Raw genomic sequence first — 27,607 nt, 5'->3', positions numbered from 1 at the left:
TTACCTCCCATTTTTGTAAAACTAAGAAATTGGTTTTGTCCAATTAAGATTTTGCTATCTGTGATTTCCCAGTATTGCATGTGCACTGAGGCATTCAGAATGATACCTAATTAAGTTGCTATTTTAGTGTTAATTTAGTGCTATTTTAGTGGTCTCAAATGTTAAGCTGGATCTGCTGCTACGTGGAATAGCTTTTGAAAGTGACAGTCTGGGCCAGTTGTGGTGGCTCACGCCTGTAATCCCAGCACTTTGGGAGGCTGAGGTGGGCGGATCACCTGAGGTCAGGAGTTTGAGACCAGCCTGGCCAACATGGTGAAACCTCGTCTCTAGTAAAAATACAAAAATTAGCTGGGCATGGTGGTGTGTGCCTGTAATACCAGCTACTCGGGAGGCTGAGGCAGGAGAATCACTTGAACCCGGCAGGCAGAGGTTGCAGTGAGCCAAGATTGCACCACTGCCCTCCAGCCTGGGCAATGAGAGTGAAACTCTGTCTCAAAAACAAAAAACAAAACAAACAAAAGAAAGTGACAGTCTGACCACAGTAGAATTAGAAGAGTAAACACCTGTCAGTGTGTACTGATGGTCAGCAATCAAATCGCCAAGGGTATCAGACAGTTTCATCTGAAAATCATGGATACCATTCTTAGAGATGGACCCACACATTTTCCTGAACACTTTCCTGGGCTAAACAAACAGAACCTTTTGGAAGGCCCCTTGCAGGGTGGACAGTGTCACTGGGACCATGCCATAAAGCCAGAAGCTACATTAAAATTGCAGTGAATGCCAGGCACTGTGGCTCATATCTATAACCCTAGGACTTTGGGAAGCCAAGGCAGGAGGATTGCTTGAGCTCAGGAATTCAAGACCAGCCTGGGTAACACAGTGAGACCTATTGTGTACAAAAAAGTTAAAAAAATTAGCCTGGTATGGTGGCACACACCTATAGTGCTGGCTACTCGGGAGGCTGAGGACAGAGGATCACTTGAGCCTGGGAGGTCAAGGCTGTGGTGAGCTGTGATTATGCCACTGCACTCCAGCCCTGTCCCTCCCTCCGGAAAAAATCACTATGACCACTCAGTCTACGGTGTCCCTGAGCTTTCATGGCTCCCCTGTCTTTGGTTGAGTCCTAGTCAGTCTAAGGAAACTTTTCAAAAAGTTATCCTCAGTCAGCCATTAAAGCTTACCTAGACAGAGGACTTAGGAGGAGAGGAATGGAGGTATGTGTTCGTTTAACATGTTTACTAGCCTGTGCTAGGTGCAATGGAAAATGGATGAGCCAAGCAGACAGATTCCTGCCCTCACAGGACTTACAGGCTGGTAGGCTTGGATAAAATAACTGTGAGGGCGTTAGAGAGTGTGATTTTTTTAGTGATTTGGTCCCTTGGACGTATGGGTTAGAATTAAGGGTTTGTGGGTTAGCCCAGGGTCTCTCCTATACTTTGAGACTCCTTTGTTTCTTGTTCATTTCTATTTGTAGATGCAATTGAATTCACTGAGCCTGAATCCAAATCAGGGAAACTGGTGGTTCACGGACTACATTTCATTTGTGCATTGGAAACCAGGGAATTCAACACAAACATCCGGATTGCTGATTTTTCTTGAGAGTTGGTAGTTCTACCAACACTGGGACCTGATCTTCTGCTTGGTGATGATAAACTGCAGCTGAGCTGCTCACCCAGTTAGATGGGTCACGTGCTTTCTGGCTTACCAAAGTCCCCACCACTCCCTAAGGCCTTACATGACATTGTTCACTGCTATTCTCTACCTGGCTCCTGTGGACACATGAGTCTATGAACACAATCTATATAAATATTATCTTAAGTGAGTGGTGAGGCTGTCAACATTCTAAGCACTAGCGAAGTGGGGAGGAAGAAGCTAGTTTGAGGCCCTTGCCTACTTGGAGTGGGGTGAGGGAAAAGCACCAGCACTTGTGGCAAGCAGGCTGCTGTGTGAGTGGATGTTTCAGCTGCTAACTCTGTTCCATGGTCAGGGAATGCCTTAGCCTGTGGCAGAAGATCCTTATCCTCATACCCTCATAGCATTGAGGTGACCTCTGCCTTTCCCATATTGGCCAAGAGGACTAAAGGAGTATTCTGGGCATGGCGACTATGGTGTGGTCCACCAACCAAGCACTCATGCTCTGAGCTCTCTGCTTTATGGTGAATTGCAATGAACAGGACCTTGGCCTATTAGGATCTGATGTGCTAGCTCAAGAGAGGTCCACTGAGGGATCAGAGTTCTTCATGAGAACCTCAGAAGAGCAAACTTTACACCTAGTATGATTCTACCGAATTAGGGATGCAGCTCCATTCACATTCTTCACAAAAATTTAAGAAATGAAATCAGACCCATAGTGACACAGATATGTATCAAGTATACAATCTCCCACATTCATCGAAAGCAATTTGGTGATAGTGTTAATTGAAAGGCTATGCCTATTCTTCACAAAATAGTAGAGACCTGGAACTCTTTTACAATGGAAAATAATATTGGTGGTCCTTTTGGAACAGCTTCACATAGTTATTTATAGGAGCCCTTCAAAGAACAGAAATGGGGAAAAGGGAAATTTTGCCATAGTTCAAGATCAGTTTGGTTGTTTTTGCCTTGAATTTTCATAAAGGATCCATCCCTTCATGAAAATTTTCATAAAAGCCTCACCTCAGCTACAGCTGTATGGATGAACAGAAAGGCGAGGGCCTGGCCCTGTTGCACCAGGAAAGGACAGAACTGCTGTCTGCTGTGGAGGAGACCCGAGAACCACCGGGGAGCCCTGGTTTCCATCCCTGCTAGCCCGCCATCAATGCAGCATGTCTTTCTGGAGGCGCTAGGCTCCTTCGCAGGGAGTGAGGAGCCTGCCGGTCTCTTACCTGGGGCAGCGTTCCTTTCACTAGTGCGGGGATATCAGCTTTGGAGTAACCAACAGCTGCTAGGCCATCATCAACATCCAGATCGAATAAGAATTTCCGGAGCGTGTCTGCCAACACCAGCCCTGCATCTTGGATCCTGGCAGTGCGGGTGTCGGCTCCTAGAAGACATAAAGTGCTGACTGTAGGGAGAGAGGAAGAAACGGGCTCTGGGTGGAGTTCAGTCACAAGATCAGTGAATACACCATGCACACCCACGGGGTCTCCCTAACGCCCAGCACGGGGCCATCGTGTGCCTCCCCAGGAGGGCCCAAGTTGGCTGGGGGAGCTCACTTAGCTCTGACATTTCGGAGGGGCTGCCAAGTCCTACATACTTGCCCCTTGTGTGGTAGGAAGAAGAGGAACAAAGACAAGAAGAGAGGTGCAGAACAAGGCAAGAAAGTCGGCTGGTGCTGGGATGGAGGAATGAATATTTGAAGAACACACAGCTTATGTAATTTCAAGGCTTGGAATTTGCTGACATCTAGAGGTGTATGATGTGTTCAACGTCTTTTCCCACAGCAACATCTTAGAAAAAGACAAATCCTTTGCAAACACCCTGTGAGACAAGCTTACAGAAGTACAAAAGCTCTAAAATTAACCACCAAAAAGAAAATAAGCATGATAAAAATGGATTATGTGTGAACAGGGAGGAAAATTTTTGTCCTCTATAGCTATAAAACTTTTAATTTTAGATTCTGTTGCCAAAGGGCAGGGTAGGTTCCTCTAAATAAATATTATAGAACCAGCTGGGCAGGACCAAAGAACATGAAGGCTCTCAGAAAACAGCGTTTCATATGCAGATAATAATGGTATTGATGAAAGAAGATACATAAGGGCAGAATTTTTACATGATTAGTAATTAAGAGGCCGGGCCTGGTGGCTCACATCTGTAATCCCAGCACTTTGGAAGGCTGAGGCAGGAGAATCACTTGAGTCCTGGAGGTCAAGACCAACCTGAGCAGTGAGACCCTGTCTCTGTTAAAAAAAAAAAAAAAATATATATATATATATATATAATAAAAATTAAAAAATAATGCACATAATCATGGAAATGGCAATCTGGAAGAGCCACGCGGGAGGTTCTGCCCTCAGGCAGGGTGACAGAGAAAGTTCCCAGAGGAAGGGAACTGATTTCACAACCCTTAGCACCCTACATTCTCATATATTCTAGCCAAACACATTCACTGCCAAGAAGTAAAGCCCTCTACAGAGTGTAGCATTATATGAAGTCTATGCAAAATGCCTCCCACAGTAGTCTAAGTCCACTTTCTCTTGTATTGTTCAAAAGGAGATCGTGACTACTTTCACCTCCATATTGAAGCACATTATTAAATCGGTTTTTAGCTTTCTCTTCCATGACAGTGAGAACTCTTAGGAATCCAGGAAAAGGTATGAATAGAACCAGATACGGGGCTGGCTGGGAGAGCAGCCGGATGAAAGGTAAACCTTGCCTGACAAGACCAGTCTGTATTACCCAGCGGCAGCTAAAATATGGATTAGGTGGAGTGGTGACACATGATACGAAGTTTATGAAGTTTTAATGTTCCTGGGAATACTGCCATAAAACACCATCGAAATCTCTGCATTTTCCTATGAAGTGTTACAGAAAAAAAAGAGATGGTAGGAAAAAGAATACATCAGTATTCTAAGCTAAGAAATCTAAGATGACATGGAGAATCAAAATATTTCATCGTGTGGGATAGCTAAGTGTAGATAACATTAAAACTTCCCATTCAAGAAGGAAGAATCAGTGGGTTCTTCCAGCCTGGAATTTGTCTAACAGAGGAACTCCCTTCTCAGTAGTGTTGCTAGTTGCCTAGAGTGTTAACTTTAAGTTCTCTAAGATTTTCCCATTTATCATAAATGTAGCCTATGATTTGCGCTCTCTCTTCTTATTTACATGCTTTGAATATACACAAAGGCAGCTGAGTCCCAAAATATGGCTGAACAACATCTCCAGTCCGAAAGAGAAAAGGGACACAGATCCTTGGCAAAGTTGCACTGTTTCCCCTCAGCACCCTCTGGGAAATGGAGCCCCTGGCCCCTCTCTGCCCTGGGCTTGTGTCATTAACATTCCCAGCACAGCACCTGGGACTCAGCGGGAGCTCCTGCAGGAGGATGTCTGCGGTCCTTCCTACCTCCCTGGAAATAATCTCTCCAACGGCTGGGCTAGGAGAGCATAATGAAGTTTTCTTTTTAGCCTTTCCCTTCTTGCCCTAACTAAACACAAGTGGCGGAATAAGATGTTTTGCAAGTTAATAAAATATTCAAGTCTACTTAAAAGAGTTCTTGTATTAGCAAAACACCAACATTTTACTTACCATTAAAGCTATCCTGAATATCATTTTATTTCTGGTAAGATTCAAAAGGTACTGTGGATATCTTATTATTGACATTATTTATTCTACAGTATGGCAAACAGACTCCTCTTTCAGGATATTTTTATAAAGTTTCTAATTGATCAGGACCTTTGCAGGCTTTGGTGAAAAAAAGTTTCCAGTTGTTTTGATTCTCTATAATTAGGAATTTACTCCTGCTTCCTGATACAGATTCATTTTATTATCGAACATAGCAAAAGTCATTTATAACATTAAAAATATAAAAATAATTATACTTTCCCTTGAGATAAAAACAGGAAACAGTATTACTACAAATACTCTCAATACTCTCAGAAACATAATAATGACAGAATTTTAGTGCTAGATAGGGCTTTGGTCAAGTCACTGACATTTTTAATCATATATTTATATTTTAAAAATGTTTTTAAAGAAACAGGATCTCACTATGTTGCCCAGGCTGGTCTCAAACGTCTGAGCTTAAGCTATCCTCCCACCTCAGCCTCCCAAAGTGTTAGGATTACACTGTGCCCAGCCTGACATTTCATTATTAAGCTATCGCAAAGCAATATTTTTTGGTATTGTCCTTTATGGTTCTTTTTTTTTTTTTTGAGAGAGAGAGTCTCACTCTGTCTCCCAGGCTGGAGTGCAGTGGCATGATAACAGCTCACTGCAGCCTCAACTTCCTGGGCTCAGATGATCCTCCCACTTCAGCCTCCCAAGTAGCTGGGACTATGGTCTTGCACTACTGTACACGGCTATTTTTTTTTTTTTGGTAGAGATGGGGTTTTGCCATGTTGCCCAGGCTGGTCTTGAACTCCTGGGCTCAAGTGATGCACCCAACTTAGCCTCCCAAAATGCTGGGATTACAGATGGGAGCCACCGTGCCTGGCCGGTCACAGAATTTTGAGTAATGGTTCATACCCAGTATTTCTGCCATCTCCAGGTGTCGCTCTGGAAACATCTGGGCCGTGAAAGTGAACACCGCTGGGGACGTGAGCACCACAGAAAGGCCATGGGGCTGGGGAGAAACGAAATGCGGTGACCGGCAGATGACAAAGCTGTTCTTCCCTGCATATTCTAGATGTTAAGTTACTTTACCCCATACTCTAAGCAGGCGAGAATTGGCAAATATATTTATGGAAATTGGGATGATTATAATATTTAATTAAATAATTTATTCTTATGATTTTACCACCAGTGGGTGATCCACATTGTAATCCTTTGCTTTATACATCTTCACTAAACCTGAAATTGGGTAAGACATTCCATGGCTAGAAAAGAAAGAAAATCCTTATGTTCATACACAGTTATCAAAATTCAAGTCAACAATAGAAAGATACTCTTATGGGGATGCCTGTCACGGCCTCTAGACAGTATCATTACCTGAAAAAGTGATATGTTCTGTTTTCTTGGATATAAGGATATATTATGATGTCTAGGACATGTAGTGCATTCATTAACAAAACCTCTGAAAATGCTCAAATTCAAATGCTCATAGAATTGTATGACATTAAAAAGTATTGATCCAGAAGTAGCTCCCTGAACCCATTAGTTAACATTACGATCTCAAAGACTCGGTAATTCACTTCGAAGTTTCTGTAATAAGCTCTGGGCATGTGTTTTCTGTTTTTCCCTGGCAGTTCCTTGGCAGTGTGCTCCCAGATGATGTCGGGGGAATTTTGTGAGTCAGGATGTGCTGTATTTGATGACGTGCAAGCTTGACCCATCAGTGATCTGTCCCACCAGTAACTGACAGATCCCTTCAAATGTTACATACTCACAGAGTCCAGTCAGAAATGATTATTCTAGCCTGACAGGCTATGTTAATCAGTTCTGGTTTGACTGATTTCTCTTGCTAAATTCTACCTTAAGGATTTGTTTAGATTTAGTTGACATCAAGAAAAGGCATTATGGTTTTTGTTTTTACTGAAAAATTCTTTTTTTTTTTAGAGATGGTATCTCACTCTGTCACCCAGGCTAAAGTGCAATGGTGTGATCATAGCTCAATGCAGCCTCGACTTCCTGGGCTCAAGTGAGGAAGGATCCAGCCACCACGCTTAGTGAAAAATTTTTTATATCCTCTTGAACTATTGATGAACAAATAGGAAAATATTATAGTTTTTTTTGTTGTTGTTGTTTATTTGGGTTTTTTTGAGACAGGGTCCCACTCTGTTGCCTGGGCTGGAGTGGAGCAATTCTGGCTCACTGCTGCCTTGACCTCCCTGGCTTAAGCGATCCTCCTGCCTCAGGGTGGCTGAGACTACAGGTGTTTGAGTAGCTGGGACTACAGGCATGCACCACCACACTTGGCTAATTTTTGTATTTTCTTTTGTAGAGACGGGGTTTCACCATGTTGTCCAGGTTGGTCTTGAACTCCTGGGCTCAGCTCAAGGGATCCGTCCAACTCGGCTTCCCATTGTTGGGATTAGAGGCGTGAGCCACTGTGCCCAGCCATGGGTATTTCTTCAGGCTAGATTCCTAGAAGAGAATTGGTGGGGCCAGGGGCATAAATATTTTTCAGGCTCTGGGTACACTTTGCTCACTTGCTTTTTGGAAAGGTGTTGCCAATTTATGCTCCCATCAGTGGTAGATCATCAGAGGCTGATCATTCCTTGCGCTCACCCTAGCAAAGGCCTATTCTTAATTTTTAAAGTTCAATGGTTTTCAATTTAAAGCAACATACCAATAAAGTTTCAATCAAAGAGATTAATTCTGGGCTATTGACAAGCATTCTGATCCCTTTCTTTTGTGACAGATTGGGGGAAAAATCCTACATTTAAGTTTAAAAAATCCACAACACATGGTGAGTATGTGGAGAAATCAGAATCTTCACCCACTGCAGGTGGGAATGTAAAACAGCGCAGATGCCGTGGAAAACAGTCTGTCAGTATCTTAAAATTTAAACACAGAATTACCATATGACCCAGCAATTCTGCTCCTACCTATATAACAAGAGAAAGGAAAACCTATGTCCATAGAGAAGAAAAAAGCTAGACACAAAAGACCACATATTCTATGATTCCATTTACATGAAATGTCTAGAATGGGGAAGTCTACAGAGATAGAAAGTAGGCTGGGCGTGGTGGCTCATGCCTGTAATTCCAGCACTTTGAGGGGTGGAGGCGGGTGGATAACTAAGGTCAGGAGTTTGAGACCAGCCAGGCCAACATGGTGAAACCCCGTCTCTACTTAAGAAATATAAAAAAATTAGCTGGGCATGGTGGTGCACATCTGTAATCCCAGCTAATCAGGAGGCTGAGGCAGGAGAATTGCTTGAACCTGGGAGGTGGAGGTTGCAGTGAGCCAAGACTGCGCCATCGCACTCCAGTCTGGACAACAGAGTGAGACTCCATCTTAAAAAAAAAAAGAAAAAAGAAAAAGAAAAAAAGTAAATTGGTAGTTGCTAAGTATTAGGGAAGGTGGGGGGATTGGTGGATGAAGCTAGGAGGTATGGGATTTCTTTTTGGGGTGATAAGATGTTCTAAAATTGATGATGGTGGCAAAACTTTGTGAATATATTAGAAACTAATGTTCTGTACATTTTAAATGGGTGAATTGTATAGTATGTGAATTATACCTTAAAAATATGTTATTAAAAAACCCAGTAAACCACATTCAATTTAAGAATACATTTAGGTTTCTACTTTATAGCTGATGGTGGAAAAAAGAAAAAAAGAAAAAGAATACATTTAGGAACACAAAAGAATACATTTAGGAACCACATTCAATTTAAGAATACATTTAGGTTTCTACTTTAGCTGGTGGTGAAAAAAGGAAAAAAAGAAAAAGAAGAATACATTTAGGAACATAAAGTTAAATTTCTTCCTTCTATAGCATATTTAAATTTTACCACCTGTCCTGAATTATAAACATTAAAAATTTTTTAAAGCAATAGCTTGAGTAAAGAAATGAAATCTCAGACTTGCTCACCACAGATGAACACCAGCATTTCCAAAGCCGATGCCAGCAAAAGCACTTGCCAAGTGCATATGAGACCTTGCTTCAAGATCATCGGGATTTCTGACAGCCCTGTGAATGATATAAATACCTAACAATAACACATCAACATTGGCAATTCCTACAGAATAAGGAGCTGCCTTAGGGAAAGATATGGTGAAAAAAAAAGAAATGCTACTCGGTAGGAAGAAAAATCAGGCAAGTTATTCAAACGACGCCTTGTCTTCTAAATGAAAACTGAAGGGAAACATATTTCTCATCAACTGTTTCAGCAAAGGCATAATAAATACGCTGTCAGCTGCTCATGTGATGTAAAAGCGCCGGGGGAGGCAACGCGCTGGTCCCTGGATGGCGAGGGCCACTCCAGGAAGGTGCCCTGAGACTCATTCTTCTTCTTCATTTGTCAGTGCTGTTGACGGCCCTGTGAAGGGATGTAAACATTCTCAGATGCCCGGGGCTACCTGCCGGCCAGCGCTCTTTCTCTCTGAGACACTGCCTCCCACTGGACCCACTGGGGGCCTCTTTATATCTGTGGTTGCTGCACCTCTATGCCAACATTATTGAGGAAGTGGATGTTATTGTCGAATGAGCCTTAGCTTGCTCTGGGTGTCCCCAGTGCCACTTTGGAAAAGTCAATTCTCAAAAGCCCCTTTCTGATTGTGCACAGCCTTCCTGCACTCACTGCTAAAACCTTGCCCCAGGGAAGAAGCCTGAAGACTGTCAAGGGAACCTACTTTTCATGTGGGCTTTTTTGCAATTTTGCCTTGCGTAAGAGTTCCTGTGGTGAAATAAAAAAGCACAGCCTTTTTTCCCCTTTCATTTGAAATGTTCCTTTCATGTGGAATGGTTGGGTGTTCCTGCCTCCTTTCTGAAACCCCATGTTAGTTCCTTATTCCCCCAGTGACAAGGCGAAGTAGCAGGTGATGGAGCTTTCAGCCTTTCCTCTGTCCATCTCTCCTTATCTACCACCGCTGTGCCACTGCCAAGCCTCTGTCCCTGTCAAACAAACTGGCTCCCCATGATGCGTGTCTGTTTGGATCTAGTCAAGTGCTGCTGTGCTGTCCTGGGAGTCCCCCACAAACCTGAAATAGTATTGGGTTCCTTCCTGCTGCTCTGCTACAAATGCAATTCCAAGGCTCCTTTGTCAGTGGAGCTTCTAGCTCAAGGCCAGAGGAAGCACCGTGCTCACGTCTAGGCCTAGCCTACCTGTGGCCGTTCTGTCCATTATGTATAAATACAAACGTGAGTCTGACTTTGAGTATGTCCTAATATCTCAGGTATCAGCTTTCATCCTAAGTATATCTTTGCTGTCTCAGGACCTGATTGCTATTTGCTCTCCTGTAGCCTATGGCTATACATGTATGTATATACTTGTATTCATAAATCTGTCACAACCTCTTAGGAATCTTTTTACATTTTCTGCCTTTTATATCTCCTGGGACAGCAATCTCTACTCTTTTCTTTTCTTTTTTAAATTGAGACAGGGTCTTGCTCTGTCACCCAGGCTGGAGTGCAGTGGTGCAATCATAGCTAACTGCAACCTCGAACTCCTGGCTTCAAGCCATCCTCCTGCTTTGGCCTCCCAAAGTGCTGGGATTACTGGTGTGAGCCATTGTGCCCAGCCCACATTTATGTCTTAAGTTTAGTTCATTTGAGTTAACTCAAAGGATGGATTCTGTGTGTCTTCGGACAGGGCCTGGATGGGCATAGCCAACATCTGCCAGTGTGGGTCTCATTTCTGCCCTGGGGAGCCAAATCTCAAAGGACACCACCCCTCATCCTAGCTTGGCTCCTAGTTTGTCCCCTGGCTGCCTTTGCCTTTTAGGGACTGAAGGACCCAGTTTTCATCTGCCTGTCCCTTGGGTCCCTCCAGAGGCTGCTGGTGTCTGGGGCTTCTGCGCATCCACTGACTGCTTTTCTGGAACAGACCTGCTCAGGATATTTCAGGCTCAGGCATGTCATGTTTCACGTGCTGGCAGAATGTGGGCCTCCTGTTCTATTTCTATCCCCTTCGGGGTGACATACCTCTTCAGATACTTAGCCACGATCCGCAGCGCGTGGATAGCCCAAATGTCACTGATTGGGTTGCTGCCCTGGTACGCAGGCCGTGTGATGGGATTTGAAGGGCAGGGGCTCCGCAGGTGGTAGGGCAGGGTGGTGTATGACTCCAGGGCATGGCTAAAAAGAAATATTGAAAGTACACAGATGGAAAGCGTCATCTTCCTCCTTCCCTCCATTTAGATCACAACCTGTCTTGGAGCTGTTTGGCACTCAACCCACAGTGGATATATTATCTAACACTGATGATCACAGTACATTCTACCAGCCCACCTCTTGCCTGCAACAGTCATTACTTATAATATAAATTAATACAGTTGAGTTTACATTAACAGCATTACAGTATTTTTGAGTAGTATGTATAAGATTATATATGGACCTTTTCTAGTGTCAATACATTTTTATGGTGTCGAATTATATATTTGAGCAACAAAAAAGCACTGAATCTAAAAAATGACTTCCTTATGGAAGATATTTACCATTTTATACCTTGCATTGATCAAATACCATATTACCAAAAGTGGGTCATAGCTACACCAGATTTCTATGAAAATTACAGTGTAATGAGTGAGAATATAGACTTTGGGGTCAGCTGCCCAGATGTCAATCCTGGAACAAGATATTCCTGCTGCGGACCTGGTGTGAGGCACTACCCTGACTCTAAGACAGGGATAAATAATAGTACTGGTTCATGATGTGGCTGTGAAAATTCGATGAGTTGACACATGTAAAGTATTTAGAAGAGTACCTGGCACATTGTATACCTTAGTATTCACTATTATTATTAATTCTTGGCCTGAAGAAAAAGCAGATCTTTTTCTCTTATGTACCGTAAACTCAGAGTTTGCTACTTCAAGAACTAAGCTTCATAGCTGCCTCCACCTGCTGGCCTGCCATGACTTCTAGCTCATCAACTGCAGAAGAGAACAGACATCACCGTCTACATCAGTGATGCACTGGAAACACAGTGTAACATGAACTATATTTTGCATGAATTATAGTTTTCAGTATAATTCCCCATGGGGGCCTCTGTAATGTTTCTGGGACACTCTCCTTTCACTTGACTGTGAAGGGAGATGACCCCATGTTTTGCATGAATTACAGTTTTCGTTTTCCCTAGAATGGAGGAATTACTCTCTTCTACATATGAGAAGCAGATAATATTTTTTGGACCAATCATTAGAAAATTGTTTTGGAAATTAGTTTGTAGATGGATATGAAGGCTTTGTGGTTCTAAGCGGGGAATGTGTGAATAATGCAAGAATGAGGTGTCCACATGGGGAAGTTGGGGTGGCCGGTGAGGCCACTGTAGTCAGAGTGTGACCTCTGCCTTGCAGCACATTTAGACTGCATCAGATCCCAGATCCAAGTGCAGATTTGTTTCTCAGGGGTGGACTCACTGAGCTAAGCTCACAGAAACTATGTGTAAAGCCTGGAAGTCAGTTTAATGCTTTATGACAAGAAATATAACTGCTAAGCAGACATCAGAGTCTTCCCGATGGCACCTTCTCTCCCTACAGTCAAGCCCTAGGATGGCCACTTTATGACCAGAAGTCCATGGAGTCCTAATGAGGGGAGTTACCTCGAAGATTTAATACATGGCTTGTCCACCTTCAGAACAGGCCACTGGGCCTTATGGGCAGATTCCTCAGGCCAGGTGTTCTTTCCCTTGGGCAGTACTTGAAAGAGCAACTGCCATTATTCTCCTGCCTTCTGAGCCCACTCCCCACTTTGATTGACAGTGAAGCCTTTGGGCCTGTGAGTCACCCACTTAAGGGTGGCTGCTTTGGGTCATGATGTATTTACTATGTACTTTACAGTTAGGAAGGATAACCTTATTCCCCTCATTTCCAGGTTATTAGGGAACAGCTCATCAAAGTTCTGACAATATTGACCAGAATGGAGTTAGACACAATTTTCTACAGTCTCTTGGCAGGCAGCATAACATAGTGAGGGAAGCAGACCATGGCCCTGGGGGACCTGGATGTGAGTTCTAACTCTGTCACCTCCTGCTTGTGTGAACTAGCAGTATACAAGTACCTAGGATGTGACAGTCACTGTACAGGGATGTGCAGGCATGTGCCACCATGCTTGACTAATTTGTAAAACTTTTTTTTGTGGAGATGAGGTGTCACTTTGTTGCCCAGGCTGGTCTCAAACTCCTGGCCTCAAGTGATCCTCCTACCTTGGCCTCCCAAAGTGCTGGGAATACAGGCGTGAGCCACTGTGCCCAGCCTGCACCGTTTTTAAAATAGGTACCACGGAGGATGAAAACATACTGTGATGCCACAGATTTTAAGTTATGTCCTGATTTCAGAGGTGTTAAAATGTGAAAAAAATGTGCATGTGCACATAGATGAACAAGGGTCATTTGGCACATGCTGAATGTGAAGTGCCTGTGGGGTCTCCATGAGGCCTGGAGCTCAGGAGCAAGGTCTGTGATAGAAATACTGATTAGGGGGCCATCGGCACAAAGCAGCTGAAGCCGAGGGAACATACAGTAAGACTATGGGCAAGTCACTAAACATCTCAAACCCAGTTTTCTTGTTCAATAAAACAAAGGTCCTGTATCACACAGAACTGCAGTGAAGTGATGTATGTGAGGTGCTAACACAATGTGCATGGTCTGGGGGTGCTCTGGAGGTGTTAGCTCTGTTCCCTGCCCTCTTCCATGACATGAAGCCTTGGGCATTGCCTAGTTAGTGAGGCCATAAAGGTAGCTGGTGTGTCCCTGAGATGCTGCACACCAGCTCCAACTGCCCCTTTATCCCCTGAGATGCTGCACACCAGCTCCAACTGCCCCTTTATCCCCTGAGATGCTGCACACCAGCTCCAACTGCCCCTTTAGCGGCATCCCTATGTCCCTGGCTGTGGCTGGGGGGGATCCATCCTGAAGAGCAGGTTTGTGGCCCACACCAGATGTCACCTAGTCACCAACCTCTAAAGCTTGAATGTTTGATTTAGGACAGGGGGTAATGACAGCCAAAGCTAGGGATGTTGTGGGGTGCTAATCAATGAATACTTAGCATGTGCGTTGAGCAACAAAATACTATCCATAGACCCAGTACTAAAAAAGCCCCTCCAGGAGGCACCAGCACTTACCAAAGCACATCAAAGCCACTGTTGGCGACCACTCGGGCAGGCATGTGGAGGGTGTGCAGAGGATCAATCAGTCCCAGTGTGGGTTTGATGGCTCTCGAAGTGATGCCTAAAACATAAGGATTTTCAGTAGAGGCTAAAGCCATGGGCATCATTTTAAGAAGAAAAATGACTTCAGGATAATAAATCACCCTAAAAATAAAAATATGAGAAAAGGTTCATTTTCATGTAGTGAGGCAGTAAGGAGCAATGGAAAGTGATTTAGAGTCAGAAACCTGGGGTTTTCAGTGGTGTGTTGGAGCTGGCTCCTACTGGTTTCCAAGGGCCATGTGTATGCATCTCTTTCCTACTCCTGGATGAGTGATGTCACTGGCCATGGTGAGAGTATTTACACCACAGAAATGGGCCAACACTACAAGTCAGGGCTTACTTGTTTATTATTAAATGCCAGAGAGCCAGTTTACTAGCACACCACTGGTCCTCGCTCTGCAACTTACTTTGTGTCTTTGGGCAAGTCACTTAGCCTCTCTGAGTTCTCTGTAAGATTAGACTATAATAATAGCACAGGGCCTCCAGCTCTCATTGAGCTGTTGTAGGGATCAAATGAGAGAATATTAGGTAAAAGTCTTTAGAAACTGTAAGGTAGAATGTAAGTGTTGGCCATTATTATCATCAACTTAAGAAATGTCAAAGGATAGTGCAATTTAATTTTAAAAAGAAAAGTTACTAAAAGTGTGCAGTTAAATGTCAATTTATTCTGCTACGAAGATCTGAAAGCAGGATATTGAGCCAGACTAAAAAGAGAGACATTTCTACCGCATTAGCCAAGAGTCTGAGACAGAGAAGACGGCATAAAAATGACTAAGAAGACAGAAAGCAGAACAGAGGTTACCTGGGAAAAGGACTGGAGGGATTGGCTGGGACGGAGCATGAGGAAACTTTCTGGAGTGGTGGGAATGTTTTGTATCTTGATTGGGGTGGTGGTTACATGAGCATATATGTTTGTCAAGGCTCATCAAACCAGATTCTTAAAATGTGTGCATTTTATTATACAAAAGTCATATCTCAATAAAATTGATTTAAAATGTAAAAAATATGTCAGAGAAAGGAAACAGCCATTTATCATTGGTATACAGTCAGTAACTTGGGCAGAGAATGGCCAATTAAGATTCATGGCATTTCAATATGCTTTCAGCAGTAATTCTCAAGAAGTTTATTACATTGTTTCATATTTTTATATGTACTTGGAAAAGGAAAGAAAATGTGTATATATACAAACCCTTTCCTTGGCTCCTTGATTTTTTCCTTTCTTTTTAAACTTGATACAAAATATTTAACATATTTACAGGGTACATGTGAGTATTGGTTACATACATAGAAAGTGTGATGATCAAGTCAGGCTCTGTGGGGTATCCATCACTCTGAGTACTTTTTGGGAATATTTCAAGTCCTCTCTTCTAGCTACTCTGAAATATACAATACTTTGTTGCTGACTTTCGTCACCTTGCTCTTCTATAGAATATTGGGGCTTATTCTAACTGTATCATAACTGCTTGATTTTTAAATATTAGGATTTAAAGAAGAGTGTGGAGTTGAAAGGTAAGGGAGATAATTCAAAAGTATGGTTCTTACCAATTTTTACTTTCAAGTGTTCATAGTCAAAAATGGCAACCCCAGTAGTTTCACTCCCGGTTCCTGAGGTAGTTGGCACTTGAACAAAATAATATTAATTTTAATAAAGCATCTAAATAAAGGTTAGTGGAGATACCTAATTCAGCCTTAGGACTGAGGAACAAAATTAGAGAAGGAAACTTTGCTGACCCTCTTGTTTGCATGATATATATGAATTAACATGTATGGAAACCTAACATGTATGATGTCCGTGTCTGCATTAATATGTATGTAATCTAACATGGAGGATGTCAGTGTCTGTGTTATCATGCATGTAAGTCCAATGTGTATGATGTCTGTATCTGCATTAACAGGCATGCATGAGGTCTGTATCTATATTGGCATGCATGTATGTTTAGCATGTACATTGATGTCTATGCCTGAATTAATGCACTTGCATGTTTGACATGTATCATGACTGCTGGATGAATGTTTATGTTGTTTAATATGCATAATGTCTGTGTCTGTATTAATATGTATGTATATTTAATATGTATGTGTGACCTCTGTATGTGTTAGCATGCATGTATGATGTCCATGTCTGCATTAACATACGTGCATGTTTAGCATGCATGTGTGTTTAATATGCATGTATGTGTCTGCATTAACATGGTCATGTTTAATATGCATATTGCCTGCTTCTGCATAAATATGAGCGTTAATATATATGGTGTCTGTCTGTATTAACATACATGTGTGTTTAATGTGCATGTGATCTCTGTACCTGTGTTAACATGCATGTATGACTTCTGTGTCTTTGTTAACATGTATGTATGTTAATCATGCACGTGTGTGATGACTGTGCTGTATTAATAGCAGTGAGCTCTGGGAACCTCAGGCTCCTTGGGGGCCAGAGCTTAAGCAGCTGCAGCTGGGTCAATGCAGGCTGCCCAGCACCTCTGGTAACAAAACTCATATTTGCTGTCTCTAAAAGACATCTTTATTCCCTCTTGGCAGCAAGCACAGTGACGCTCTGCCTTTGCTGGGCTCCGTGGTTTTGTGGTTCTGTCAAGTTTCTAAACTTTACTAATCACCCCTCTGTGTGATGCTGACACAGTTTCACCAGAGGGTTCCATTTGCCAGACACCAATTATGCTGCTCCCTGCTGATCCCTCATTCACAACACAGCAGTTCATCTGCCATCGACTTACTCACATCCCATCACAAGGCCTCTTCACAATAGGGCAGGAGAGGGGAGAAGAAAGGGCAAAACTTTAAACTGAGGATATGTCCCAGTTACCAGTTAGTGCATGTTAGCTATAAAACTTTAAATAGTAATATGCTAGCATCCATAAAAATGGCAGAGAAGAAAAGACTAGAAAATCTCAAGGTCCCCTGTGGAACAAATGAGCTATTCTGATTTGGATTTGTACGTCTGTGCCCTGGGTAGCCACAGAGCAGATGTCACCCAGCATGATGGGCCATGCTGGCCACATGTCCCAGGGAAGAGACAAAGCCTGAGGTCAGCTGAAGAGCCATTATGTAGAAGAAAAGGTTGAGTCAACACCAGAAAAATAACAGCTAATGTTCTCCTTAAACTCTACAGTGGCTGGCAAAATGGGACAAAACAGAGAGCAGTTTAAAGGACAAAGCTGCTGACAGAGGGATCTCATCATATGTCAGTGATGACCTTCCCCCTTTTCCACATGGTGACCCCATAGCTTAAATCTGCAAACTTTCCTTCCACTGACCCCAATTGTCTTTATCTATACAATAATGAAGATCAGAATTTTAAAATGAATGATTGTTCTCCAAACAAGGCATTGATTTGAAATGAACAAACCAGAAAGCTTTCGAAATGTGTATGTTAAAAGGACTGGCTTGCATCTTTCTTAAGATCTATTGCTCATTGCAAAATAAAACAAACAAAGAAATAAACAGTCTTTACCTGCAATCAGAGGCTTAAGAGGCACAGACACAGGCTTTCCCTTGCCAATGGGGGCACTGACATAATCTAGGAAATCAGAATGAGGGCTGGATGCATACAGATTAGCAGCCTTACAGGTGTCCATGGTAGAGCCACCACCGACAGCAACATAGGCATCAAAAGCTCCCTTTTGGGCAAACTCAATAGCTTCCATGAAGCTTGGAGAAGAGAAAATAAAAACCAGTATGTTATATTTTTCAGAAATAAATTGCCATGCCATTAACTAAGGCTTGGGGTAAGTTTTGTGGGGTTTTTTTTGTTTTTGTTTTTTTTTTGAGACGGAGTCTCATTCTGTTGCCCAGGCTGCAGTGCAGTAGCACGATCTCCGCTCACTGCAACCTATGTCTCTTGGGTTCAAGCGATTCTCCCACCTCAGCTTCCCAAGTAGCTGGGATTACAGGTGCCTGCCACCATGACTGGCTAATTTTTGTATTTTTAGTAGAGACAGTGTTTCACCATGTTGGCCATACTGGTCTCGAACTCCTGACCTCAAGCAATCTGCCTGCCTCAGCCTCCCAAAGTGCTGGGATTACAGGCGTGAGCCACCACGCCTGGTTGGGGGCAAGTTTTAATCAACAGTTAGCTTCTGCTTAAAGTAAAGAAACAATAACAACAATACAAGAATACCTTGAATCCGTTGGTTCCACTCTCACATTATCATAAACCGTAAAGGGGATGCCATTCTTCACTAGGGAATCCATAGCTACTTGCACAGGAGGGAGCTTGGAGAGGTTCTTGTCTGTCATCAAGCACACATTTTTAGCACCCATGTTTTTTAGGTCCTACAAGAAAACCTATAAGTTAGGTTCAACTCCACTAGAACTGCAATAGACTCTTCTGGCAAACTCACGTTGTACATTTTTAAAAATAGAGGATGTGATTGTTGTCATTTAGCATGGTCTTGTGAGATATGTAACATTTACAGTAGGAGACCGTAGACATCTCGAATACTTGCCATTCCTACTTCCTTTGTAACTGCTGCTCCATATCTAATATTTGAAACAGCCATCTGAAAAAAATAAAAAGGTTTAGGTGTAGGGAGTATTTGAGAGTTGGCCAGTCCATTTCTAAAAACCTGAAATGGTTTCTTGTTGCCTAGAGCATAAAGTATACACTCCTTAGCATGGTCTTCCAGGTCATCTCCCACCTGGTCTCACTTAAAGAAGTGTGGACGCACCACACTTCCTTAAGCAAACTTCAGCTCCTGTCATTTGAATGACTTGTCTTTTCCCAAACACATCATAAACTCTCAACTGTTCCCTTAGCTTCAAATGCCTACCTTCTTCCAACTCCACCTGTAAAATAACTCTCAAATGTCTTACTTTCCATTCATCCACCCACCCTTGCATACCTGCCACCCAGTCAATGCTACTGTCTTCTATGTTCGAGGCACTGTGTAGGCTCTGGTAACTCAACTATGAATAAGAGACACAGGGCCTCATAAAGTTTACGGGTGAGAGAAAGGCTTTTACACTGATGGATGATGGGTCATGTTTCGCCTGAAATATATTTTATTTGATCTGTGTTATGTTTAAATTTCTTTTTTTTTTTGAATTGACTAATAATGCTTAAAAATCAGGATAAAAAATTTAATAAGACCATCTGAATTTCACTTTCTCTTGAATAATCCAGCAAACTGGGAATGCATTCCCATATGGCAGTGATCTTATAAGGTTGAGTGGAGTCACACCTTAGATGGGGCCTGTGCCTTCAGTGAGCTCACCATGGCATCACCCAGCCTGGTCATCTCTTGGTTAACTGTCAGGCCCCCGGTGACATTTTAATTAGTCATTCCTGAAGGCAGGCGCGGTGGCTTATGCCTGTAATCCTGGCACTTTGGGAGGCCGAGGTGGTCAGATCACCTGAGGTCAGGAGTTCGAGACCAGCCTGGCCAACATGGCAAAACCCTGTCTCTACTAAAAATACAAAAATTAGCTGGGTGTGGTGGTGTGCACCTGTAATCCCAGCTACTCAGAAGGCTGAGGCAGGAGAATCGCTTGAACTCAGGAGGCGGAGGTTGTAGTGAGCTGAGATCACACCACTGCACTCCAGTCTGGGTGACAGAGTGAGGCTGTCTCCAAAAAAAAAAAAAAAAAAAAAAAAAAAAAAAATTCCTGGACTAGGAGGAGACAGGGACTTAAACAAATAATTATAAGTAATTATGTAATTACAGTGTGATAAAAATACACCAGAATTGTTACTTTACTTTGACCTCTTTTGGGATTGTTATAATTAAAAAACTAAAGATTTAACACATAACATATATGTACTGGAGAATTTGTAGAATTGGGAATTTATCCTATTTTAGTGACTCTACAAAGACAGCACTCTAGACATTAGCCATGATCTCAGAAGGTTTATATTCCATTATACCAACCAGGTACTTTGCTAAATATGGTCTGATCAAATAGAGATTATGGAATGTGAATTAATAACAGATTTAAAATAAAATAATAATTCATTAGCAAAATATTCTAGTTTTATTTTTTTCTAGTCATTCATAAAAGAAATAATGGATTGAGTGAATATACCTCAAAGGCATAATCTGTTGTTTTCCCAGAAGGTGAAAGTCCAGGGGCTAGAAATGTAAAAGTTAGCATCAAAGTGGGTCTTTAAAAAAAAGCATAAATGTTATTTGATAGTAAAATCCAGCAGTGAACATAAGTATTTCCTTTGAAGTCTTACCAAAAATATATTTTTTCCAGGTTTCACTGTTGCACATCAAATTAAAATCAATACCTGTATTTTAAGATAGAATGTAATGCGGCCAAGCACAGTGGCTCACACCTGTAATCCCAGCACTTTGGGAGGCTGAGGCGGGTGGATCACGAGGTCAGGAGATCGAGATCATCCTGGCTAACATGGTAGAACCCTGTCTCTACTAAAAATACAAAAAAATTAGCCAGGTGTGGTGGCGAGCGCCTGTAGTCCGAGCTACTCGGGAGGCTGAGGCAGGAGAATGGTGTGAACCTGGGAGGTGGAGCTTGCAGTGAGCCGAGATCGCGCCACTGCACTCCAGCCTGGACAACAGAGTGAGACCCCGTCTCAAAAAAAAAAAAAAAAAAAGATAGAATGTAATGCTAACTTGAGCCTAATTTGTGAAAATAATAAAACATTTCTTGCATTATATTTAAAATATGTGTTTGAAAATCTAATGTGTAACAATCCTCTAGGAAAAAAATCCCCTGGTTTAGAGTTGGGTTACTATTACAGAACAACTATTAGTAAGTTCATGAATTAGAGGCTTGCTTACACTTCTTATAGCAACTGTGATAACTTGTTTGAATTGTTTTTTTTAATTCATAGGGATAACTTATCACAGTAAGATATTTACATTTCTCAAGCTTATGCATATAAAAAGCTTATTTATCTTGGTGAAATTTAATAAACCTTTTTTTTTTTTTGAGATGGAGTTTTGCTCTGTCACCCAGGCTAGAGTGCAGTGGTGGGATCTCGGCTCACTGCAACCTCCGCCTCCCAGGTTCAAGGGATTCTTCTGCCTCAGCCTTCCTAGCAGCTGGGACTACAGGCGTGTACCACCATGCCTGGCTAATTTTTGTATTTTTAGTAGGGACGGGGTTTCACAATGCTGACCTCGTGATCCACCCACCCCGGCCTCCGAAAGTCCTAGGATTATGGGTGTGAGCCACCGTGCCCGGCCTAATAAACATTTTTATAAGGTGCTATTTCCTTGCAAAGGATTAGGTTTTAATTATGGTAAAAATGATTTTCTGTCATATTGGAACAATGAAAGGGACCTAATTAAAGATTTTTATCCTTGTTTTTATCAATACTTATTTATATCAATACTGGTCAGTCATACGATAAAGTCTACAGAACAATTTTCATTATGCTTTTTCTTTTTTAAGGAAAATAGATCAGAAGTGGACAACAATCTACCTTCAGCTCCCTGAGTGCAAAGGCATCCTTAACCAAAACTCAAACTTATTGGATTCCTCTAGGCTTAAAAAAAATAATCTGTCCCGGTGCAGGGGCTCAAGCCTATAATCCCAACATCGTGGGAGGCTGAGGTGGTAGGATAGCCCAGGAGTTTGAGGGTACAGTGAGCTACGACTGTACCGCTGTACTCCAGCCTGGGTGACAGAGGGTGACCCTGTCTCTCTCTCTGTATATAAAAATCTAATATTTCTGTTACTAAATTTTAAAGACATAAATATGATCCTGGAAAACAATGAGAATATCTTTCTGTAAATTATTAATTTTATTCCCTCAAATAGGAAATTAACTAATTGTTGAAACCAACTAAGAATTCGAGAAAATCAGCTGAAGACAAAATTCTGTATATGTTCAGAAGGGCCTTAAAGGTTGGATATGTTTCTGTCTCATAGATGACAGTTAATGATGGACAGGGAGGTCCCTTGGCTTGTCCTGAAGGGTGAGTCACTCCTTGGGCAAGAGAAAGCCCTTGGCGAGTTACTCTCTCTGTTCTAACTCCCCAACAGGCTTCTCTGTGGGTTTCTGCTTAGGATCCTGGATGGTCAGCCTCTTTCCTTTCCAACTCTTGCCTTAATGTTTAGATCTGACCTTAGAAGAGACAAAATCAGTGGTTGTGTCAGTAATCCATGTGACATTCTTAGGACATGCTGAAACTATGTTGAGTTTCCTGCTGCTCTGTGGACCACAGTGTTTGGTGTTTGGTAATGACTAAGATGTTGTGGTAACTGAAGGTTTGTTATTATTTTTAAGTATTAGGAAATACAATATTATTTTAAATACAATATTATTTTAAAGACTGATACAAACAAGTTTTGTTTTTCTTTCTAGGAACCACCTTGTTCTTGTTCTTTAGCCTCCAGTTTTTAGAGATGTCTTAGAACCTTCCAAAGACTTCATCTTGATTAATTCTGTTTGACAAACTCAGACATTCTTAAAATCCTATCTGTGCATTTTTAGACTTGGCAAGTAATTAAAAGAGAAAAGCGTTGTAAGTAGCATTAAATAGATATTTGAGACAAACAAACACGTGATTAGTAGTATACATTCAGCTAACTTTGTATAGAGTTACGTGTTATCAATTTCACAGTGAAATGGTAACTGTTTTCATGGACCTTGCTCTCACATGCCTTGGTTTTCTTTACATACACTACCCAAATGTATTATAATGCCAAATGCAGAAACCAAAATTGTGGCTAGTTTAAAAATACAGAAGTATTACCTTGGGAGTAAGTATGAGAATGAGTTGGGCACTGGCACCTAGGGAAAATAAAAACGACAGCAAAAAAAACCTAAGGTGAAAATAGAGACCAAAAAATGAAAAGCCTTAAGCTAACTCACATTGCAGTCTAGTGCTAAGATGCTATCAAATTGGTAGTTCTTGGCAGACACTGTACAATAGAAAAAATATATATAGACCCAGAAATCACGATGGACAAAAAGTTGACTCAGCGTCTTCCCAGCGCTGTAGCATCATTCTTTCACGAATTCATTTACTCTAGCAATTCCTATCAAATGCCTGCGGGCAGCTGAGATAAACGCTCTGGGGGTACATGCAAGTTTAAGATGGGGGTCTCTGGTCTCCATGAAGCCCCAGCTCTTACTGGGTTAGGAGCGTTGACCAAATCGGCCCAAGGTTAACTCTGTGTGCCTCTTCTTACTTACTACCCTATGCTGGGAACTTGCCTTATATATTTCCCAGTGTCTTCAAGATGTCTAATTTTTCTTCAGGCAGGCTCTAGACCTGAGCCTCCAGGAGAACTTCCTGGACCCAAAGACCTCCCTGGTCCCCATCTTTCTCTGCCCAGTTGCAGCCCCGGGCTCCGAGCTCTCCTCCGTCCCCGCCGCGCCGCTCCCCAGAGGCCCCAGCTGCGCGCACACCCGGTGCGCTCCGAGGTCGCCACCGCATCTCACTTCTCGGTCGACTTCTCTACAGATTTCCCACGTCCTCCTTTTTGGAAACCCTCCCTCCCCTGGCTGTGGTCCCTCTTCCTGTCCTGGTCGTCTCCTATTTCCTGGACAGTCCCAGTCTCTCCTCTGGCTTCTCTTTCTCCTGCTCGCTCTCTGATCGAGGCTGGGAAGACGGTTTTATGTTTCGTTGGGTTGCCCAGAAGACCTTGTCCAGTGGTTGGGTCTCGGTAGATACTTGAGTGCATCACTTCCTTCTCCCCGCCAAAAATTCAAATCTGGAATTAAAACACCCGAGGGGGAAGGTTGGGGAGGAAGGAAAAGGGTTGATCTCAGTGGCCGTCCAGATCTCAAAAATTCGAACTGCGAAGTCAAAGCAGACGCGGGGGCGAGTGAGAGCTGGCGCGAGTCGCGGCTGCCATCTAGTGGTTCCCGACGCGCGCGCCGGGGGAGAGGACGCGGGCCAGGCCAGGCTTGTCCCTTCACGGTGGGCTTTGGTTGGAAGACTTTCCCTGCTTTATGCCCTCTAATGACAAGAAAAGTGAGCCAAGGGAAGGAAAAAAAAATCCAAACTCAAAACTTTCCAACGTGAACGCTCCTGGGAACCCTTGCTTCCTCCCTACACCCCCCGCCACCTTTTTTTTTTCTTCCCCAAGCTCTGAGGCTATCTCAATTCATTATTTCTACTTCTTACTTGTGGTTTGTATCCTGTCCCCTCTTGCTTTCTCGGGACCTCTACCTGTCCTGTATTTCCTAGTCCTCCCCCTCACTCAATCTTTTTCAGCCTATTGAAGAGTTTTGCGCCTGAAACTTTTCCACCTCCTACCCCCTCTGGCGGGCTCACTCTCCCTCTCTCTCCTCCCGACCTACATTTGCTGGCTTCGTTTCTGGGTCTCGGACACATTCTTTGGCCCCTGAAATCAGGCTGCTGTGTCTGCAAGTCCAGCTGTCTGGCTGTGTCCTCACTTCTCAGACCTCGTAGCACCTCACTCTAGCAGCATGAAACGCGTGGCCACACCTTTTTGGGCAGGTGGAACTTTTTCCTGGCTCCCAGGACCCCTACTTGTCTGGGCTTCCTCTAATTGTTCTTTTACTGGCTCCTTTTCCACTCTGCCCATTCCTTAAATGTTCATTTCTGTCCTGGGCTGCCTTCAGCCATTCTGACCCTTCCTCCTCCCTCACCCTTTAGAGCTCATTATGCACCAAGGCCTCAAACATGTCTCCACTCAAGCCCACCCAGTTTTCCTGGGAACCTGCTACTCTCTGGTTCCAGTATCACCTCTCATGTGTATGACTACCAAATTCCCAACTGGCTTCTCGTGGCTCCACCTCTGCCACCTCTATTCCCCACACTGTAGTCGGGGCATATTTCCAATGATGTCACTCCCTTGTTGAAAGCTGCTTCAATGGCTCCCCATGGCTCTCACATACAGTTCAGGCCTGCCCCTGCCTGACTGGCCCCTCAACTCACTCCATCTCTGGGTTTGGGCTCCCGGAAAAATTAACATCTTTCTTTTCCTTGAATGAGCCACAGTCTCTCTCTCTCCTCCAGAACTTTGCCGTTATTATTTCCTCTGCCTGTAACATACTTTCCTTGCCTCTTCTTCTGGATAACTTTTGTTCTTTCCTGTCAGTTCCCCTGGGCAGCCTTCCCTGAGGCCCGAGGCTGCAGAGAGACACCCTTTCTGGAGCCTCCCTCCGTGTTAAAACGTACCACACTGGTGCTGTTTTTCTGCTTCTTTCTGCCTGTGGACTGTGAATTTAGTGATGCCCAGGCAGGATCTACTGTTTCTCACAACTTTATCCCCTGTGGCTAGCACCAAGTAAGTGCCAGGCATAAAGTAAGCCTTTTGTACTGATTAAATGAGCGAGTAAATGAATAAATAAGTGAATGTAGACATTTTCATTCCCCTGACCCTCTCTTCTCTTTTCCTGGCATGCCAAGACAGAGGGCCTGGGGGAGGGGGGTGGGGGCAGGCTGTGGGTTCCCGCCTTCTTAGGATGGCCTGAAGGCACTGATGGGCTTCTTTGGGCTCCTTCAGAGAAGCAGAGTGAGGCTTGGGGAGAGCAGGACCTCATCTACCTGCCCTCCTGGCTCTGGCCCCCTTATTCTGGCTTCCTTGCTGACATCACTGATTACCTCTTAGCCACACTCTCAGCAAAACCCAATCTGTCTTGCATTCCCTAAATCGCAGCCCCTCTCATCTACTCAAGGACTGCCAGCAGCTCTCCCTTCTGTCCCCTAAATCATCAAAATCCCCCTCCCTATTAGACATTATCCATCAGCCACCAGCATTTTTTTAGCTTATTCATAAGCACATTTCCTCCATCTTACATAACAAAACCAGAAACCTCTTGTTCCTCTTTCCTCTCCCACTCCCACTTCTACCTCTCTCCTTCCCTTCAGCGGGCTATAGCCATTCTTCCGATTTATCTTCTCCCATTCCCTCTGGAACCTCCTGCCATCAGCTTTTACCCCGACTCAACTGACCAGCTTCCCAGCTCACTAATGCCCTCCACTAGCTAACCAGCCTGCTCAGTTCAGTTCTGTCTTCACGGTACCCGATGTGTCAGCGGCATCCTCCTGTTCACTCCCTCCTTCCTGGAAACATGTTCTTCCCTGGCTTCCAGGGCACCACTCAGTTTTCTTCTCATCGCACTGGCTGCTCTTGGCTTCATTTCTTTTCATTGCTTTTCATGATTTTGACTCCTGACCCTGGACGGCTCAGGGGTCAGTCCTGGAACTTTTTCTTTTCTTTCCACACTCAGTCCCTTAGTGACCTCCCCTGGTCTCATGGTCTCAAATACCTTTGATGCTGATGACTTCCACATTTATCTTTCTGGCTTGGGCATCTCTCCCGAAGTCCAGGTTCACCTGCCCACTTGGCATCTCTGCTTGGATGTCTATGAAGTGGCAACATTTTCCCTATGGGAGACTGAGCTCCTGGTGTTCTCTCAAGCCTGCTCTTCCCACAGCCTTCCCCATCCCCATCTAATGGCAATTTCATCCTTCCAGTTGTTCGTGCCGGAGAATCTTGGGGTCACCCTTGGCCCCACACTCCCATCTCCCCCTTATTCACTCTGTTCCATACCCAGGTATGCTTCACCTCTGCATACCTTCCCTGAAGGCCACAGGGTTTGCTCTCTGCATCCACTGGTCTTTCCGCAACCATTACCTTCTCAGTGAGTAATCACTGAGTTGAGTAATCGCTCCTGAAGATAAGGTTCTAATCCTGGGAATCTGTGAATGTTACCCTACATAGTAAGAGGAACTTTGCAGATATGATTAAGAATCCTGGCTGGGCACAGTGGTTCACACCTGTAATCCCAGCACTTTGGGGAGGCTGAGGCTGGTGGATCACCTGAGGTCAGGAGTTCAAGACCAGCCTGGCTAACATGGCAAAACCCCATCTCTACTAAAAATACAAAAATTAGCCAGGTGTGGTGGTGTGTGCCTGTAATCCCAGCTACTCAGCAGGCTGAGGCAGAAGAATCGCTCGAACCCAGGAGGTGGAGGTTGCAGTGAGCCGAGATCACACCACTGTACTCCAGCCTGGGCGACAGAGCGAGACTCCATCTCAAAAAAAAAAAAAAAAAAAGAATCTTGCTAGGTGTTGTGGCGCATACCTATAATCCTAGCACTTTGGGAGGCCAAGATGGGAAGACTGCTTGGGGCCAGGAGTTCAAGAACAGCTGGGGCAACATAGTGAGACTCCATCTCTACAAAAAATAAAATCAGCTGCGCATGATGTTGTGCACTGTAGTCCCAGCTACTTGGGACGCTAAGG

The 27,607-nt window shown here is 43.5% G+C and overlaps 1 protein-coding gene across 1 annotated transcript in view, besides 2 other annotated features; it reads right to left on the bottom strand.

Annotated features, from left to right (window-relative positions):
- ADHFE1 (alcohol dehydrogenase iron containing 1) overlaps positions 1 to 27,607 on the bottom strand; it is a 36,404-nt gene that overhangs the window by 5,575 nt on the left and 3,222 nt on the right. Inside the window, exons 2-13 of the mRNA NM_144650.3 lie at positions 23,134 to 23,171; positions 20,489 to 20,535; positions 18,913 to 18,966; positions 18,585 to 18,739; positions 17,919 to 18,115; positions 15,992 to 16,069; positions 14,363 to 14,468; positions 11,228 to 11,380; positions 9,176 to 9,274; positions 6,438 to 6,516; positions 6,167 to 6,263; positions 2,868 to 3,025 (exon numbers count right to left, since the gene is read on the bottom strand). Of these exons, the coding sequence (NP_653251.2) occupies positions 2,868 to 3,025; positions 6,167 to 6,263; positions 6,438 to 6,516; positions 9,176 to 9,274; positions 11,228 to 11,380; positions 14,363 to 14,468; positions 15,992 to 16,069; positions 17,919 to 18,115; positions 18,585 to 18,739; positions 18,913 to 18,966; positions 20,489 to 20,535; positions 23,134 to 23,171 (1,261 nt within the window). The remainder of the gene's footprint in view (positions 1 to 2,867; positions 3,026 to 6,166; positions 6,264 to 6,437; positions 6,517 to 9,175; positions 9,275 to 11,227; positions 11,381 to 14,362; positions 14,469 to 15,991; positions 16,070 to 17,918; positions 18,116 to 18,584; positions 18,740 to 18,912; positions 18,967 to 20,488; positions 20,536 to 23,133; positions 23,172 to 27,607) is intronic.
- Positions 4,761 to 5,289: an enhancer, noted in NCBI's record as "OCT4-NANOG hESC enhancer chr8:67370279-67370807 (GRCh37/hg19 assembly coordinates)". NCBI's record gives its function as "activates a minimal SCP1, AML or CMV promoter by ChIP-STARR-seq in naive H9 embryonic stem cells {active_cell/tissue: H9 hESC(naive)}" and the evidence as "EXISTENCE:reporter gene assay evidence [ECO:0000049][PMID:30033119]".
- Positions 16,815 to 17,464: an enhancer, noted in NCBI's record as "NANOG hESC enhancer chr8:67358104-67358753 (GRCh37/hg19 assembly coordinates)". NCBI's record gives its function as "activates a minimal SCP1, AML or CMV promoter by ChIP-STARR-seq in naive and primed H9 embryonic stem cells {active_cell/tissue: H9 hESC(naive and primed)}" and the evidence as "EXISTENCE:reporter gene assay evidence [ECO:0000049][PMID:30033119]".

This window comes from Homo sapiens, chromosome 8, assembly GCF_000001405.40.
Source record: "Homo sapiens chromosome 8, GRCh38.p14 Primary Assembly".
NCBI classification, from domain to species: Eukaryota; Metazoa; Chordata; class Mammalia; order Primates; family Hominidae; genus Homo; species Homo sapiens.
This window is presented reverse-complemented; position numbering and strand designations above follow the sequence as displayed.